The sequence below is a fragment of the Homo sapiens genome, chromosome 11, assembly GCF_000001405.40.
Source record: "Homo sapiens chromosome 11, GRCh38.p14 Primary Assembly".
Classification (NCBI taxonomy): Eukaryota; Metazoa; Chordata; class Mammalia; order Primates; family Hominidae; genus Homo; species Homo sapiens.
Genome location: NC_000011.10, coordinates 89447794 through 89465534, shown reverse-complemented (window position 1 = coordinate 89465534; position 17741 = coordinate 89447794). Strand labels below are relative to the sequence as shown.

The following is a 17741-nucleotide window of genomic DNA, read 5'->3' as shown; positions in this document are numbered from 1 at the left end:
AGAATAGAAATACCATTTGACCCAGCAATCACATTACTAGGCATATACCCAAAGGGTTATAAATCATTCTATAAAGACACATGCACATGTATGTTTATTGCAGCAGTGTTAACAATAGCAAAGACTTGGAATCAACCCAAATGCCCATCAATGATAGACTGGGTAAAGAAAATATGGCACAAATACAGCATGGAATACTATGCAGCCATAAAAAAGGGTGAGTTCATGTCCTTTGCAGGGACATGGATGACGCTGGAAACCATCATTCACAGCAAACTAACACAACAGCAGAAAACCAAACACTGCATGTTATCACTCATAGATGGGAGTTGAACAATGAGAACACATGGACATAGGAGGGCACACAAACTGGGGCTTGTTGGGTGGTGGGGGGCTAGGGGAGGGATAGCATTAGGAGAAATACCTAATGTAGTTGATGGGTTCATGGGTGCAGCAAACCACCATGGTACGTGTATACCTATGTAAAAAACCTACACGTTCTGCACATGTAGCCCAGAACTTAAAGTATAACAAAAATGTTTTTTAAAAATAAAGGCACTAATCCTATCATGGGGACTCCATTCTCATGACTTCATCTACATCTAATTTTGTATCAAAGGCCTTAACTCCAAATACCATCACATTGGTGACTAGGGCTTCAACAAATGAATTTTGGAGAGAAACGGCATTTAGTTCATAACAAAAACTAATCTTTGTTTTGTTTATACTTCCTCATTTTAAATCTATTTGTAGTTTTAAAAATTACATATGGAATCCTCAGTTGATTATGTATCTTAGATACCTTGACAGGTGGGACTTGTAACTTGAAAATAACACTTCCATCTAGTGACAACTAACCTGATTAAATTAAAAAACTCTGGAGTAGCTGGGAAGGGTAAAACAAATCATTCACATAGAATGGACTGGACACATAACTTAGAGCAGTCATTTTTTAAAAATAAACACCTGAAGTAACTGATGCTTGTGAAGCTTATGGATTAATAATGATCAAACAAAACAATCTGTTTAGCTAATAGAATATTGCTCATGTAGTAACTAGATAAAATGTTTTCTTATAATCTTGCCACTTAAAAATGGGTCCGTCTCCATTTTCCTCACTCCACTGCTTCTGAATGAGAACCTTTTGTACTCTGAAAACCTAGTAAAAAGTTTTCTTCTTAGTTTAAAAAACTAACTATATTCAGGAACAAACATGTATGAGAAAGTGGGTTCTTGGTAAAATTTCCAGTTGGGTTTTGCAGAATCGTAAAGAAGTTGATGTTAAAATAAGCTCTATTTATCCCAAGGGGACACTTAAATCCACTTTGAATTAAATTACTGTGGGATTTAATATAAACACAATAATAAAACACTTCCAGACATGCAATACATAGTTAGACAATGAAGATATATAAAAATTTTCTTTAAAGCATTGAATCTCAAAGGAAATATGGATGATTTATTTGTATCTCTTAATTCCTGAATTTATGTTATAGATTTTAGGTGATATATTTTAAATTAACTATTCAGCTACATTAAAACTACAAATACAATTGTCATATACAATCCTTTGAGCTAAAATGTTCTTATCATATGCAAATGCCAGATCAAAAGAGATAATTATTCTATTTCTCTGGAAGCCTATATAAACAAGAAAAACCTATCACTCTCAAATGATAATTATTTCACTGATTGAGATAGAAAATCATGTTTAATCTTTTTTAGATAGTCCAGAAGGTATTATATCTATTTGTCCACTTACTGGTATATCCATTAAACTGTATCCCTAAGGTGTTCCAACTTAAGATGTAGAAATAACCTAACTGGACATATTAATTGCTTTTTATATCAGTCAATGAAAATTACTGCTTTCCTGAAAACACTATTTATTATCCTGTCTCCCTTTCAGGAACTATATTTCATATGCTGACAATAAACACAAAGTTGACATTTTGCCAACAGTTAAGTTGGAAATATCAAGCACGTGAACAAATTCAAGATAAGAAAAGCATCTGTCTTACACATATTCTTAGTCAGTGTCATTAAAATAGAGTTGTTTTGTGGCCTACTTCAGGAAAAATATACAGATATGACCCCATCTCTTGTTATATTTGTATACACTATTCATATAAAAAGTGTGGATTGTACCAGACAACAACAGATGACAAGTTATGATTCAAACTTGTTGCCAAAAAATATTGCATCAATACCAAAGGGAACTGATTCTTTGAAAATTATGTTGTGTCATGTGATTGTAATTAGCTTGTATGAAGCACAGCTGATCTAGGATGTAGAATTCAGTGGTAATCCAGAGAATAGTGTTCCTATTATTATTAATAGGAATTATTGCTATATGACAGGCATTCAATTAAACGATTTACATACATAATTATTTTTGTTTTTATTAAATGGACAGAATCTGATTACTAATATTCCTCAGTTCCTATCCCAATTTGTTAATTTAAACATGATCCTCCTTTATTTATTTTATACAAATTACTTATGATATAATGAATATCCATACATACACCTAGAATTAGAACATTGTGAGTAATTTACATCTATGTATTTGGTTATCTTATCATATATCTATCTTTTTCTTCTCTCTTCCTGCAAAAGATTACCACTATTGTGAATTTTGAGTTTCTCCTTTCTTTAACATTGAAAAAAATAGTTTTATTTTGCCTGTATATTTAATATATTACTTGTTTTGATTCATTTCTAACTTTTTATGTCTTGAGAAATCCATACCTACGCTAATGTCCAAAAGATTAATATATTATGTTCTATTAAAAGTTTTGAATTTTGATTTTGATATTTAAGTTCTTAACTATTCAGGAACTAATGTTTTGGGGTGGTTTGAAACAAGGATGTTACGTGATTTTGTTTGCATATGATAACCAATGTTTTTCTTCATCGAATAGACTCTTCTTTTCCCATTAATCTGACATGCCATCTATATATGTATAATTGATACTTATATAGTTGTTTATGGGTCTTTGTTTTGCTCCGTTGGTCAGTTTATCTATCTATACACAAGAAACACATTCTGAATTACTGTAACTTTATAGTAAGTTCTATTATGTGAAGGCCAAATTATTTCTCCTTTTCTTTTAGTGTTTTACTTTGTTTCTGCTGTTTTGCATTTCTGCATACATTTGAAAGTCGGCTTGTCAAGTTTTATGAAGAAAACCTATTGGAGTTTGACTGGAGTTACATCGAGTTTGTAAATCAATTTTGAGAGATTGACATCTTTACAATATTAAATCTCCCTACATGAAACATGGTGTATTAATTATCTACTTAGCCCTTCTCTTACGTTCCTTTAGTTCCTTGTTTTTACATGTGTCTTGTGGTTTGTTTTTTTGTTAAGTTTTTTACTAGACAATTTACATTTTTTATTACTTTTATAAAATAAAATCTTTAAAATATGTTTTTAAAAATATCTGTCGCCATTTTATAGTAATGCAGTTAGCTAGCTTTCTTTCATGCTTCTTACCCTCCCTTGCTTCCTTTCTTCCTTTTTTTTTTCTTCTTTCTTCCCAAAAGTAGCAGAATAAAACAAAAGTTTACTAAGGATTGCATTTATTGAATAGAAAACATTTTAGAGTCCTGTTACAAGTAGCTTGTGGCTGAATTTCCTCACATAGTGGTATTATGTTCTCTCTTGGCAGATGGGTAACGCAAACATTAGAAAATTCAAATAATTTTTCCATAACTTGAAAGAGGTAATAGTGGGATTTTACTGGTCAATTTTACTTTAAGACCTGTGACTTATAAGATGTTCTGTAATGAGATTTTGTTCCCCTCATTCCACTTTCTTCTGCTGCATAATGTTAATATTGGATTTAAATATTTTCTTCTCTTATTTATTTATTTATTTATTTTTTGAGATGGAGTCTTGCTCTTTTGCCCAGGTCGGAGTGCAGTGGCGCGATCTCGGCTCACTGCAAGCTCTGCCTTCCGGGTTCATGCCATTGTCTTGCCTCAGCCTCCCGAGTAGCTGGGACTACGTGTGCCCATCACCACACCCGGTCAATTTTTTTGTATTTTTAGTAGAGACGGAGTTTCACTGTCTTAGCCAGGATGGTCTCGATCTCCTGACCTCATGATCCGCCAGCCTTAGCCTCCCAAAGTGCTGGGATTACAGGCGTAACCCACCGCACCTGGCCTTATTTATTTATTTTTTAATTAATTTATTTTTTTGTTTCATATTCTTTTTTTTAATTATACTTTAAGTTTTAGGGTACATGTACACAACGTGCAGGTTTGTTACATATGTGTACATGTGCCATGTTGGTGTGCTGCACCCATTAACTCGTCATTTAACATTAGGTATATCTCCTAATGCTATCCCTCCCGGCTCCCCCCACCCCACAACAGGCCCCGGATTGTGATGTTCCCCTTCCTGTGTCCATGTGTTCTCATTGTTCAATTCCCACCTATGAGTGAGAACATGCGGTGTTTGGTTTTTTGTCCTTGCAACAGTTTGCTGAGAATGATGATTTCCAATTTCACCCATGTCCCTACAAAGGACATGAACTCATCATCTTTTATGGCTGCATAGTATTCCGTGGTGTATATGTGCCACATTTTCTTAATCCAGTCTATCATTGTTGGACATTTGGGTTGGTTCCAAGTCTTTGCTATTGTGGATAGTGGCACAATAAACATACGTGTGCATGTGTCTTTACAGCAGCATGATTCATAATCCTCTGGGTATATACCCAGTAATGGGATTGCTGGGTCAAATGGTATTTCTAGTTCTAGATCCCTGAGGAATCACCACACTGACTTCCACAATGGTTGAACTAGTTTACAGTCCCACCAACAGTGTAAAAGTGTTCCTGTTTCTCCACATCCTCTCCAGCACCTGTTGTTTCCTGACTTTTTAATGATCACCATTCTAACTGGTGTGAGATGGTATCTCATTGTGGTTTTGATTTGCATTTCTCTGATGGCCAGTGATGATGAACATTTTTTCATGTGTCTTTTGGCTGCATAAATGTCTTCTTTTGAGAAGTGTCTGTTCATATCCTTCGCCCACTTTTTGATGGGGTTGTTTTTTTCTTGTAAATTTGTTTGAGTTCATCGTAGATTCTGGATATTAGCCCTTTGTCAGATAGGTAGAATGCAAAAATTTTCTCCCATTCCGTAGGTTGCCTGTTCACTCTGATGGTAGTTTCTTTTGCTGTGCAGAAGCTCTTTAGTTTAATTAGATCCCATTTGTCAATTGTGGCTTTTGTTGCCATTGCTTTTGGTGTTTTAGACATGAAGTCCTTGCTCATGTGTATGTCCTGAATGGTATTGCCTAGGTTTTCTTCTAGGGTTTTTTTGATTTTAGGTCTGACATTTAAGTCTTTAATCCATCTTGAATTAATTTTTGTATAAGGTGTAAGGAAGGGATCCAGTTTCAGCTTTCTACATATGGCTAGCTAGTTTTCCCAACACCATTTATTAAATAGGCAATCCTTTCCCCATTTCTTGTTTTTGTCAGGTTTGTCAAAGATCAGATGGTTGTAGATGTGTGGTATTATTTCTGAGGGCTCTGTTCTGTTCCATTGGTCTATATCTCTGTTTTGGTAGCAGTACCGTGCTGTTTTGGTTACTGTAGCCTTGTAGTATAGTTTGAAGTCAAGTAGTGTGATGCCTCCAGCTTTGTTCTTTTGGCTTAGGATTGACTTGGAATTGTGGGCTCTTTTTTGGTTCCATATGAACTTTAAAGTAGTTTTTTTCCAATTCTGTGAAGAAAGTCATTGGTAACTTGATGGGGATGGCAGTGAATCTGTAAATTACCTTGGGCAGTATGGCCATTTTCACGATATTGATTCTTCCTACCCATGAGCATGGAATGTTCTTCCATTTGTTTGTATCCTCTTTTATTTCATTGAGCAGTGGTTTGTAGTTCTCCTTGAAGAGGTCCTTCACATCCCTTGTAAGTTGGATTCCTAGGTATTTTATTCTCTTTGAAGCAATTGTGAATGGGAGTTCACTCATGATTTGGCTCTCTGTTTGTCGTTATTGGTGTATAAGAATGCTTGTCATTTTTACACATTGATTTTGTATCCTGAGTTTTTTTTAAAGTTTTATTTTAGGATCAGTGGTACATGTGCAGGTTTACTATAGGGATAAATTGTGTTTCATGGGGATTTAGTGTACAGATTATTTTTTTCACCCAAGTAATAAGCATAGTACCACATAGTTTGTTGAATGTCACGCTCCTCCCACCCTCTACCCTCAAGTAGACCCCTGTGTCTGTTGTTCCATTCTTTACGTTCCTGTTTACTCAGTGTTTAGCTCTCAATTTTTAAGTGAGAACATGTTCTCGGTATTTGGTTTTCTGTTTTAGGATAATCATCTCCAGGCCATTCATATTTCTTGCAAAGGACATGATCTTGTTTCTTTTTATGGCTGTGCAGTATTCCATGGTATATGTATACACCATATTTTCTTTTTCCAGTCTGTCATTAATGAGCATTTAGGTTGATTCCATGTCTTTGCTCTTGTGAATAGTGCTGTGATGAATGTATGTGTGCATGTGTCTTTATGGTAGAATGATTTATATCCCTTTGGGTATATATTCAATCATGGGATTGCTGGATCAAATGAAAGTTTGGTTTTAATTTCGTTGAGAAATTGCAAAACTATTTTCCACAGGGGCTGATCTAATTCACATTCCCATGAACAGCATGTAAGTGTTCCCTTTTCTCTGCAACCTTCCCGGAATCTGTTATTTTTTAACTTTTTAATTATAGCCATTCTGACTGGTGTGAGATGGTATTTCATTGTGGTTTTGATTTGCATTTCTCTAATAATTAGTGATGTTGAATATTGTTTTCATATGCTTGTTGGCCAGCTGTATGTCTTCTTTGGAAAAGTGTCTTTTGATGTTCTTACCCCACTTTTTAATGAGATTGTTTGTTTTTTGCTTGTTAATTTGTTTAAGTTTCTCACAGAATCTGTGTACTAGGTCTTTGTCATATGCATGGTTTTCAAATATTTTCATCCATTCTGTAGGTTGTCTGTTGTAGTTTCTTTTGTTGTACAGAAGCTACTTAGTTTAATTAGATCTTATTTGTCCATTTTTGGTTTTGTTTTAATTGCTTTTGTTGTCTTCATCATGAAATCTTTGCCAAGGTCTATGTCCTGAATGGTATTTTTACCAGGTTATCTTCCAGGCTTTTTGTAGTTTTAGGTTTTACATTAAGTCTTTCATTCATCTTGAATTAATTTTTATATTGCTTTATATTTAAGTCTTTCATTCATCTTGAGTTGATTTTTATATTGCTTTAAGGAAGGGGTCCAGATTAAATCTTTTGCAAATGGCTAGCCAGTTTTCCTAGCACCATTTATATTGTTATTGTAGTCTTGTAGTATAATTCGAAGTCAGGTAATGTGAGGCCTCCAGCTTTGTTCTTTTTGCTTGGTATAGCTTTGGCTATTTGGGTTCTTTTTTGGTTCCATATGAATTTAAAATAGTTTTTTTTCTAATTCTGTGATGACTGGCATTGGTAGTTTGATAGGAATGGTATTGAATCTGTAAATTGCTTTGGCCAGTATGGCCATTTTAACTATAATGATTCTTCCCATTTATGAACATGGAATTTTTTTTTCATTTGTTTGTGTTATTTCTGATTTCTTTCAGCAGTGTTTTGTAATTCTCTTACAGAGGTGTTTTATTTACCTGGTTATTTGTATTTCTAGGTATTTTATTATTGTTGTGGATATTGTGAATGGGATTATGATCTGGATTTGGCTCTCAGCTTGAACACTGTTGGTGGGCTGATGTTCCTTTAGTCTTTGAAGTTACTGTTCTTTGGATGGAGTTTTTTACAATTTTATTTTCTTTGATGCCTTTGGAAGTTTGGTTGTGGTTTGAGGTAGGTTCAGTAGACTGACTTTATTTCTGGAAGGTTTTAGGGGGCCAAGGATCAGCTTAGCACTCCTGGACTGCCTGTTAACTCTGGATGGCTGTACTAGGCCCTCAGCTGCAGTCTCTGGCCCTTTGAGGTTAGGAATCTGATTCACTCGGGGGGCTGAGGTGTCCCAGTCTACTGGCCACAACTCTACAAAGCTGGTGCTGGCAGGGTTTACTCCTGTTGGCTTGGGTGGCACACTGGTGGGAGTGAGCCTGAAGTGGTCCTGTGTATGCTCATGCCTATGGCAGTGGCAGTGTGGCTGGTGCAGGGCGGTGGCAGAGGCAGAGTTGCCAGCGTCCATGTACACATTTGTGCTGTTGGTGGAAGGGTAACAGGGCACTCCTGCATCAGCAAGGGTTTGGACAGTTAGCTCTGTTTGCATCATCTGTGGTGACACAGTGGGATGCATTCACACACACGTACTGGCTGGGTAAGGGAGGTGAGGTCTGCCCACATGGGGAGAGGGAGACTGTAGTGGGTCAAGGCTGCAGGTTGGCTAGTGTGCATCGTCAGGGGCTGGTCTACTGGAGCTCTTCAACAAACAGACACAGTCTTCCAGTGAAGGAGCTATGATGATAACCCCTGGGAAGCAACTTGGTTGGCCATCAGAGGCTGTGCTTCAAGCAGGTACATATAGCCAGGCTGTACCCAGGAGAGGCCAGCAGACAGAGGATGTGCAATTTGGACTGGTCCCATCCCATTTGCAACACCACCATGTTCTGTCCAGGTCCAACAGTCTCTCAAAGGCTGACGTCACTTAGAAGGCCATGGAGAGTCTTTGGGGATGGGCACCCTAGCCATACTCCACTGCAGCTGTTCCTGTCCCAAACCCTGTGGGCTCTGCACAGGCTGGAATCCTGTTTCTTCCATCTCTCTGCCAACTCTCTGCCAGCTCAAGTGTCCGTGGGAGTCATGGGCTGTCTTGTTGCCAGGATTTTTGGGGATTCCTGGTGAGGACAGAGCACTCCTCACCTGTTTAGCTCATTCCGCAGGAGTTGCTGGGGTCCAGGAGCGAGCCCCAGTGCTCAGCAGCCCCCTACAGGGCTCCCAGCTTCCTCCTCAAGTTCAGCCCACTGTCTGTGTCCTAACTGCATCCACTCTCAATGCTTTCCTGCTGAAGATCTGCTCAGAGTTTGCTAGTCTTCCCCATGTCCCTGTCTCTCAGTGTGAGATGTTCCTCCTGGCTGTATCTAGTCGGCCATCTTGGGTCTTGTCCTACTTTCTTTTCAGACTAAATCTTTAGTCTTTTCAAAATCTGTTAATAGAAATATTTGTGCATTTATATTTGTCAAAATATATGTATTCTAAATGTACTTATTATTTATTTCTATTCATCCATTCATTTATTCACACAAGACTTCTTTTTGAAGCTTGCTTAGATTTACCTTCTTAAACAATTTTAATTTTTAATTATTATAGTAATTGTATATATGTATAAAATACACATGATATTTTGATACAAACATGCAATATGTCATAAGAGTAGCTGGGATATCTATCACCTCAACCATTTATCATTTCTTTATGTTGGAAAAATTGTAATTCCACTCTTTTAGTTATTTTGGAATATACAGTAAATTATTGTTAACTATAGTTGCCTTATTGTGCTATCAAACAATAGATATTATTCCTTTTAATGGGTACTGTGTTCATGTACCTGTTAACCATTGCCTCTTCATCTCCCCACTTCCCACTACTCTTCTCAGCCTATTCTCTGTCTCCATGAGTTCAATTTCTTTTTTTTAGCTCCCATATGTGTATTCACTCAAGATTTATTGATTACCAAATTTGATGGATAGAGTTGCCTACAGATTGTGGGAGTAAGAATAATGTAACTAGGAATTTTCTTGAAGTGCCTGCTTTTTGTTTCATATATATATATATATATATATATATGACTTCATCTTCTTGATAACAGTGGGGAGTTTTCAGTGACCACTTCATAATATTTTCCATGATACTGCAAGCTGTGCAATTTAAAGTTATTGGTGGACATACAAGCTTTGTGAATAAAATAACCACAAAGATTGTAAATATTTGAACAAACTTGAGAGTTGTAACCAAATAAAATGCTTATCAGAGCATGGTACCTGTGTTTAAAAATTCAGCTCAATTCAACAAAGATTTACTGAAAACTACCACTGTGTTAGGGCTGAGGATACATAGCTGTAAAAAATGGATCCTGCTTTTGAAAAACTTACTACCTGGGTGCAGGAAAAGAGTAGAAAGGAGGAGTAAGCCAGATCCTAGAGTTGAGAGGAAGTTATAAGGAGAAATGAGGTACCTTTGGGGCTTCTGCTTCTCCATGGAATGTCCTTGTGATAATATATAAGAATCAAGGTAATGCATAGAAAGTCAGAAAAGTTTGAGGTATTATGACACAAACACATTAATTCATATACCAACTAAAGAGGAAATGGTGCTGGCTAGGACTATAGGGGTAACTCATGAGTAAGTAATAAACTAAAGTAGTCATGCTTGATGGAAGATGAAACGCAAGACCTGTGTTTAACTAACATACTTTACTGGCAACTAAGCATAATGTATATGGCCTATAGGAGCTATTGGAGTAGGCTTTTCTCATGTCTCTCAATTTAATATTTATCCTTCCGTATCCTTCAGTACATTTTTTGCCTTAGTTTTAACCCTGAGATGAAAAGAGTCATAGATTCCAGGGTACAGAATTCCTTTTCAACTAGTTTGACTTTTGACAAGGTAAACAGCTTCTAAGATCTTTATACAAGTCATCTGTAAATTGAGTATAATAGTTCTTACTTTACAAGGTTTTTGAAAATATTTTCAGTGATTCATTAAAAACGCTTAGCCTGGCGACTGTTCTGTATTGGATGATAAAGAGATGGTAAACCTGTTAGTTGTACCTTACTATGTCAGCTTTCTGTAGATGAGATCTTTGTTGTTCCTGCTTTGCTTTTTATTTATGCCCAGACTATTTACTTTTGTATTTTTAATATAAAAATGCTATTTTTAAAGCTACATTTGGCCAGTAAGTTTGGAAATATGCAATTACACTTTCTTATTATAATTTAATGGTTGTCATTGTTTCATAACTTGTAAACAGTACAGTTGGCTAAATAGTCTTAGGTAGTGGTGTTCAACCCAGGTGGCATATTAGAATCATCTGGAAAGCTTTCAAAAATGCCAATGTTCAGACACTACCCAAAGTCATTGAATTCAGGATTTCTTGTGGACCTAATTATTATTATTTTGTAACAGCTCTTCATCTCCAACATGGCAATAATAACATCTACTCAGCTTGTCAGAGTAGATCTGATGATTACATTAAAAATATATTCAAAAGTGATTGATAAACAGATAATTAAAATAAAAATGTAGGGTAATATTAAAACATTTTAGAAATATTTACCCTGGTCTTGAGGGGTTTAACATTTACTTAGAGAAAAAGGTTAAAACATAAAAAATTCAAGGTAACATGTCACACACTAAATGGAAGTAACAGAATAATTATGCTAGGAATCCCATCCTAATCACACTGTGTAGGCAATCCTTAATGTATATGAGGCTGTGACCTTGTCTAGTACTTCTCAAATATTTATACCTGGGCTTTCTTTAATGATAAAAGAACAAGAACAATAACCTTTTTGGGGCTGGAGAGGGTTACTAGGAGGGAAGTCTTATCTAGGGTGGTTGTCTAAAACCACTTACCTCAAATGTTTGTTCATTCATCAAGTCATTCAACAAAATGTTTATTACCTAATATGTGCCTTCTGGACATTTTCTTTTTAAAGGCAATTTAGCAGCATGATAAAGTGGGGGTTAATAGTATAAATGCTGGAGCCAGAATATCTGGGTTTGAATTCTGGCTCCACAACTTTCTGATTATCTTATGTTGGGTAAATTCTTAACTTCACTGTGACTCAATATTCTTTATTTTTTAAGAAGGAAGACAATATCGTTAATTACTTCCTAGGGTTGCAGAAAGAGGTTTAATGTATTAATAAGTGTAAATTGATCCAAACTATGTGTGGCTAATAGTAAGAGATAGGTGTGCTTTTGCTAACATCTCTGCATTTTTATTCCGTTATGTTCTTCATTTGTTTTAGTATGAACATAATGTTTTCAGTGTGAACATATGAAGATAATGCTTTAAGTTAGCTATCACCAAATGAAAATGGTTCTCAAAAGAATGGATATATCCTCCTCCTAAGACAGAGTCAAATATATGAATCTCAGTTTTTCAAGGCACTATCTTATTTAAGATTGGTCATTTTCAACAACATGGATTATCTAGAGGATGTTATGCTAAGTGAAATAAGCCAGGCACAGAAAGACAAATACTGTATGATCTCACTTACATTTTGAATCTAAAAGAGTTGAAATCATAGAAGTAGAGAGTAGAATGCTGCTGGTTACCAGAGCATGGGGATGGGAGTGGACAGAGTGTACAAAGTTTCGGTTAGAAGAAATAGGCCTAGTAATAGGCCTGGAAATAGGCCTGTTTTTGCACAACAGGGTGACTATAGTTAATAATAGTGTGTATTGTATTTTTCAAAATAGCTAAGAGTGTATTTTAATTTTAATTTTTTATTTTTTGAGACAGAGTCTCGCCCTTTCACCCAGGCTGTACTCCAGTGGCATGAACATGACTCACTGCAGCCTCAAGCTCCTGGGTTCAAGCAATTCTCCTGTGCCAGTCTTCAGAGTAACTGGAACTGCGGGTGCATTACACCATGCCTGACTAAACGTGGATTTTAAATATTCTCACCACATGGCATGCATCTGTAGTCCTAGCTACTCAGAAGGCTGAGGCAGGAGGATAGCTTGAACCTAGGAGGAAGGGGCTGCAGTGAGCCCTGATGGTACCACTGCACTCAGCCTGGGAGAAAAAGTGAGACCCTGCCTCAAAAAAATTAAAAAATAAATATAAATAAATATATTTACCACAAAGAAATGATAAGTGTTTTGGGGGATGGATATGTAAAATAGCTTGATTTGGTCATTTCATGATGCATACATGTATTAAAACATCATATTGTACCCATACATATATACAATTATTATTTGTCAATTAAAAATAAAATAAAAATTTTAAAAAAACATTAGAAAGGAGGTTAGAGACATAATCAGGGAAGTACAGAAAGCAATGAATGCTTGTATACCAGTGGGTTCTCTCCTAGTTTCCGATCAGGGAAGAAGTCTAGAAGAGTCGTGCTTACTATGTGACCAGAAAGATGAGTAGAGTTAGTGATAAGCAGAGCTTGCAGAAAAGCTGTGGTGTGTAAATGGGTGGGTTGTGTGGAGACTGAGAGTGTTCCAGAGAGAGAGAACACATGAGAAAAATGTCATTTAAAACTGTGACCTTATCAGTGAATAAAGGGTCCAACACCACATAAATGTGGAGGTGCAGTATATACAGAAACTCTTAAGGCTCTTAACAGCCAGAACAATGGGGTAGGGGCAGAACAAGAAATGGAGTTTCTTTGGAAACAGTGTTTTCAGGTGATTGTAACATTAGCATTAATGAGAGGAGTACTAAGTTTTGTGGCAGTGCAGAACAGAAAGAAGTCGTTCAAAGGGGGTTTTAGTGAGAGGAAAAGGGAAGACTATTCAAGGCTTTTGAAGGAGCTGGTATTTGGCATGATTCTTAAAAGAGCAATAGGGTGAGACCTCTAGCTTCTAGAGCCAGGACAGGGCTTTACTACTGTCCTTAACTGTGTGCTGACCTTGCCTTATTTGTTCAGCTAGGATTGTGTCTAAGCAGAGCCTCAGCATCTGTTCTTAACCTCAACTGCAGCCTTATCCTTTTACCCATGTGCCGAACACTCTTGGCTTACCTCCGAGGATCACAGAAGGTAAGAAAAAACAGTCCTACTTTCAAATTCCAGCATAAAAATCAAGTGTAACAGTCGCATGTTAGTTTGTTTACTTTTCATAGTCTGACTTTTGACTGGAGTGATTTCTTGTAAGATGATGGTAAAAGACATGTCACCTGCCAAGATGATCTGTGAGTTATTCTGCAATACCAGATAAGGGCAGAGGATAATAGTAATATTATTAACAGGGATTTCCAGCACTATGCTTAGTGTTTCACATACATGCTGGACAATTCTTACAGGGATTCTACAATCAGGTATTGTTAGTTTCATTTCACACACAAGAAACCTCAGGCATAGAGGCTTTGAGTAACTTCGAGACTAGGGAATGACAGAGCTAAGGTCAATCCTAATTTGAGTTCTTTCCATTATGTCTTGTCTCATTGAGATTCTGTATTTTCACTTAGCTAAATCCAGGTGAGCAAACTAGAGTCCTTTAGATTCTGAGCAATACATGAAATGATTGCTGGTGTTGGCAACAACTTATCTCTGCTTAACACATATACTCATTTTGAAGTGTGTAATAGGCTTGAGAAACATGTCTTTTTTTATTATACTTTAAGTTCTAGGGTACATGTGCACAACATGCAGGCTTGTTACATATGTATACATGTGCCATGTTGGTGTGCTGTACCCATTAACTCGTCATTTAACATTAGGTATATCTCCTAATGCTATCCCTCCCCCCTCCCCCCACCCCACAACAGGCCCTGGTGTGTGATGTTCCCCATCCTGTGTCCAAGTGTTCTCATTGTTCATTTCCCACCTATGAGTGAGGACATGTGGTGTTTGGTTTTCTGTCCTTGTGATAGTTTGCTAAGAATGATGGTTTCCAGCTTCATCCATGTCCCTACAAAGGACATGAACTCATCCTTTTTATGGCTGCATAGTATTCCACATATATGTGCCACATTTTCTTAATCCAGTCTATCATTGTTGGACATTTGGGTTGGTTCCAAGTCTTTACTATTGTGAATAGTGCCACAATAAACATACGTGTGCAGAGAAATATGTCTTGATTAAATAGTGATGTCAGGGGGAGGGGGGAGGGATGGCATTAGGAGATATACCTAATGCTAAATGACGAGTTAACGGGTGCAGCACACCAGCATGGCACATGTATACATATGTAACTAACCTGCACATTGTGCACATGTACCCTAAAACTTAAAGTATAATAATAATAATAATAAATAGTGATGTCATGTATTATATGCAGTGTTGTAAAATGAAGTATGTAAGAAAACAAAAACAGTCATTCTGCTAATCAACAAAAATTCTTTTTTGTCTTTGACTAATTTTGTGTATATGTGTGACTGTGTGTGTGCGTGTTGATTCTTCTTCCCTAAGATTCACTAAGCAAAGCACCGCTGGATAGATATTGATATTTTAAAAGGAGTTGTTAACTTGAGATCACTTTGATGTTCTATGAATTTAATGTGTGCAGATTTACTCTAGGAAAACTTCTCAACCCTTTCTACATAATTATATTTAGAAACTCTTTCCTTTTAATGCAGTAATCTGTGAAAATAACTCTCTCTAGGTTGCCTACCATTTAAACTGCTAGGTTTTGATCCCTGTGGTTGGCTATTGGTTTGGCTTGGAGAAAGAGAAGATAAGTGGCAGGGAATAAAAAGTTCCCACCTAAGTCTCTCAGTATTTAATCATTCTTAAAGATTTGCCCCGAGTGTGAAACAGTGATTCAGAGGTGCTTGACATTTTATTTTGTTATAAGATCAAACAGGCATTTCAAACTATAGATGAGATTGCTTCATTTTAAAATAATCTTATTTTTTGACTGTAAAAGGAAATCATATATATTTTAAAACTTAAACATTCCAGAAATATGCAAAATGATCAGAGAAAGTTTACCCTAATCTTATTCTGCCAGAACAACCACTGATGACAATTTGTGGTAAGTGCCTGCAGATACGTTAACATCTAATGCCATTAGTGTTGATCAATATAAGATCACAGTGCAGTTTTTTTGTAACTTTTTTTTTAACCTAACAATGTGTCTTGAACATCTTTCTATATCAATAATATGGACTTCTCACATATATTTTTTAATGGTTTAGGTGTCCCATTAACTAGATAGATCATAATTCATCTCACCAATTTTTGATTAATAGGCTTCCGCCATATTTTAAAAATTTTGACATAATGAACAATGCTATACTGAAAAACTTTTATCACATTTGTTGCATTATTTTTACCATATTAAATGATTTTTGTTTAGGTTCCAAGCAGGAGAACCAGGAGATTGTTGGATAAAAGCAGAACATTCCATATTACCTGTGGTGTTACTATCTGTATTTTCTCAGGTGAGAAAGCCACAAGATATTAAATAATTTGTTAGAATTACACATTTAAATGTAAACATTCCAGACATACACAGAATGATCAGAGAAAGTTTTCCCTAATCTTATTCTTCCAGAACAACCACTGATGACAATTTGGGGTAATTGCCTGCAGATATATTAACATATAATGTCATTAATGGTGAACAATGTAAGATTGTCGTGTGGTTTGTGTTTTAAACCACACGTAAAATTACACATGGAAAATGTGTGATTTTATTGTTCTGTACATTATCTGCTGTCAGCAACTTAGGATTTTCTTATTAAATAGCTTAGTAGTTCTTTTCCATGTTTTTGAAAAGGGTTGTCTACAGGGAATTACAGAAAATGGATGTGTCTTGTGATTTTTACATTATGATATCCAAAAGTTGGCCCCCAAGCTGATAATGACTATTTCCTGAAAGTAAGTAATTTCATTCCAGTAAGAAATACTGGAAGAAACAGACTAAAAGTTTTCAAGCTCTGAAAGTGATGATGTGATATGAGTTTAAATGCATGAACATTTTATTTTTTATTTTTTTGAAACAGGGCCTGGCACTGTTGCCCAGGCTGGAGTACAGCGGTACAATCTTGGCTAACTGCAACCTCTACTTCCCAGGCTTAAGCCATCCTCCCACCTCAGCCTCCCAAGTAGCTGGGACTACAGGCATGTGCCACCATGCCTGGCTAGTTTTTGTATTTTTTTGTAGAGACGGGCTTTCACCATGTTGCCCAGGCTGATCTCGAACTTCTGAGCTCAAGCAATTTGCTTGCCTCAGCCTCCCAAAGCTCTGTGATTATAGGCGGGTGCCACTGTACCTGGCCAAATGAATGAAAATTACAATGTGAAATACTCATTAGTAGATTAGGATTCCATCCCGAATTATATGTGATCAATATTTCTTTGATATTAATATTTGGTAGAAAAACCAATGTCAAAATTTCTGAAGCTTTATCTTGCTCTTTTCCAAATTAAGAAATAAAGCAATGATCTTTGTGCTATTATAAGCCTTTTTAAAATACATTTTGATCCTGAGCTTTTAGATGATACTTTTCAAATTTTTGGAACAGAAAGTAAGAAACATAGTGATGAAGGACATGGATTCCGAGGAGTCCATGCGTAGGTTCTATCCTCAGTTGCCCTTCTGTTTTAATGTGTGATGTTACCTCTCTGATCCTCAATTTGCTGTTGTTGTTGTTGTTGTTTTTAACTGTAAAATGGATTGACAGCAGGACTTACCTCATAGATTTAAGACTAAAATGAGAAAATGAATAGAAATTTTTAGGATAGAATTAGTAATTGTAATTTACAGTTGCAAGGGTTAATTATTCCAGTGGCATAGCACCTGGTATTTTCACCTGGCCATTATTTGATGACATAGCTGTTTTGATAGCAGGGCCATTTTGACTAATGAATGTTTTGATACAGCTATTGCCAAGAAATTATTTTACTTTTAACTTGGTAAAAAATTGCCAAGCATTGTTGAAATGGGTAACTTCATTGTTTTATCTCTGAATGTCTTCCAATTGGTAGTCCCACCTCTGCAGGTGTTAGATGGGGAGAGGCTCAGGGATAGGATTAGCAGTTCAGTGAGGATGAGATAAGGACCAAGGGTGTAGTAAGGGTTAGA

General features: G+C 36.3%; 1 protein-coding gene across 8 annotated transcripts in view, besides 1 other annotated feature; it reads left to right on the top strand.

The window, feature by feature from the left end:
• Positions 1-17741, top strand: part of NOX4 (NADPH oxidase 4) — a 265205-nt gene that overhangs the window by 124023 nt on the left and 123441 nt on the right. For 7 of the 8 annotated variants that reach the window (NM_001143837.2, NM_001300995.1, NM_001143836.3 and 4 more), the window contains 2 exon segments: positions 13640-13750; positions 16011-16095. In NM_001143837.2, the coding sequence (NP_001137309.2) occupies positions 13640-13750; positions 16011-16095 (196 nt within the window). 8 annotated transcript variants of the gene reach the window in all.
• Positions 8282-8782: an enhancer, noted in NCBI's record as "H3K27ac hESC enhancer chr11:89189921-89190421 (GRCh37/hg19 assembly coordinates)". NCBI's record gives its function as "activates a minimal SCP1, AML or CMV promoter by ChIP-STARR-seq in naive H9 embryonic stem cells {active_cell/tissue: H9 hESC(naive)}" and the evidence as "EXISTENCE:reporter gene assay evidence [ECO:0000049][PMID:30033119]".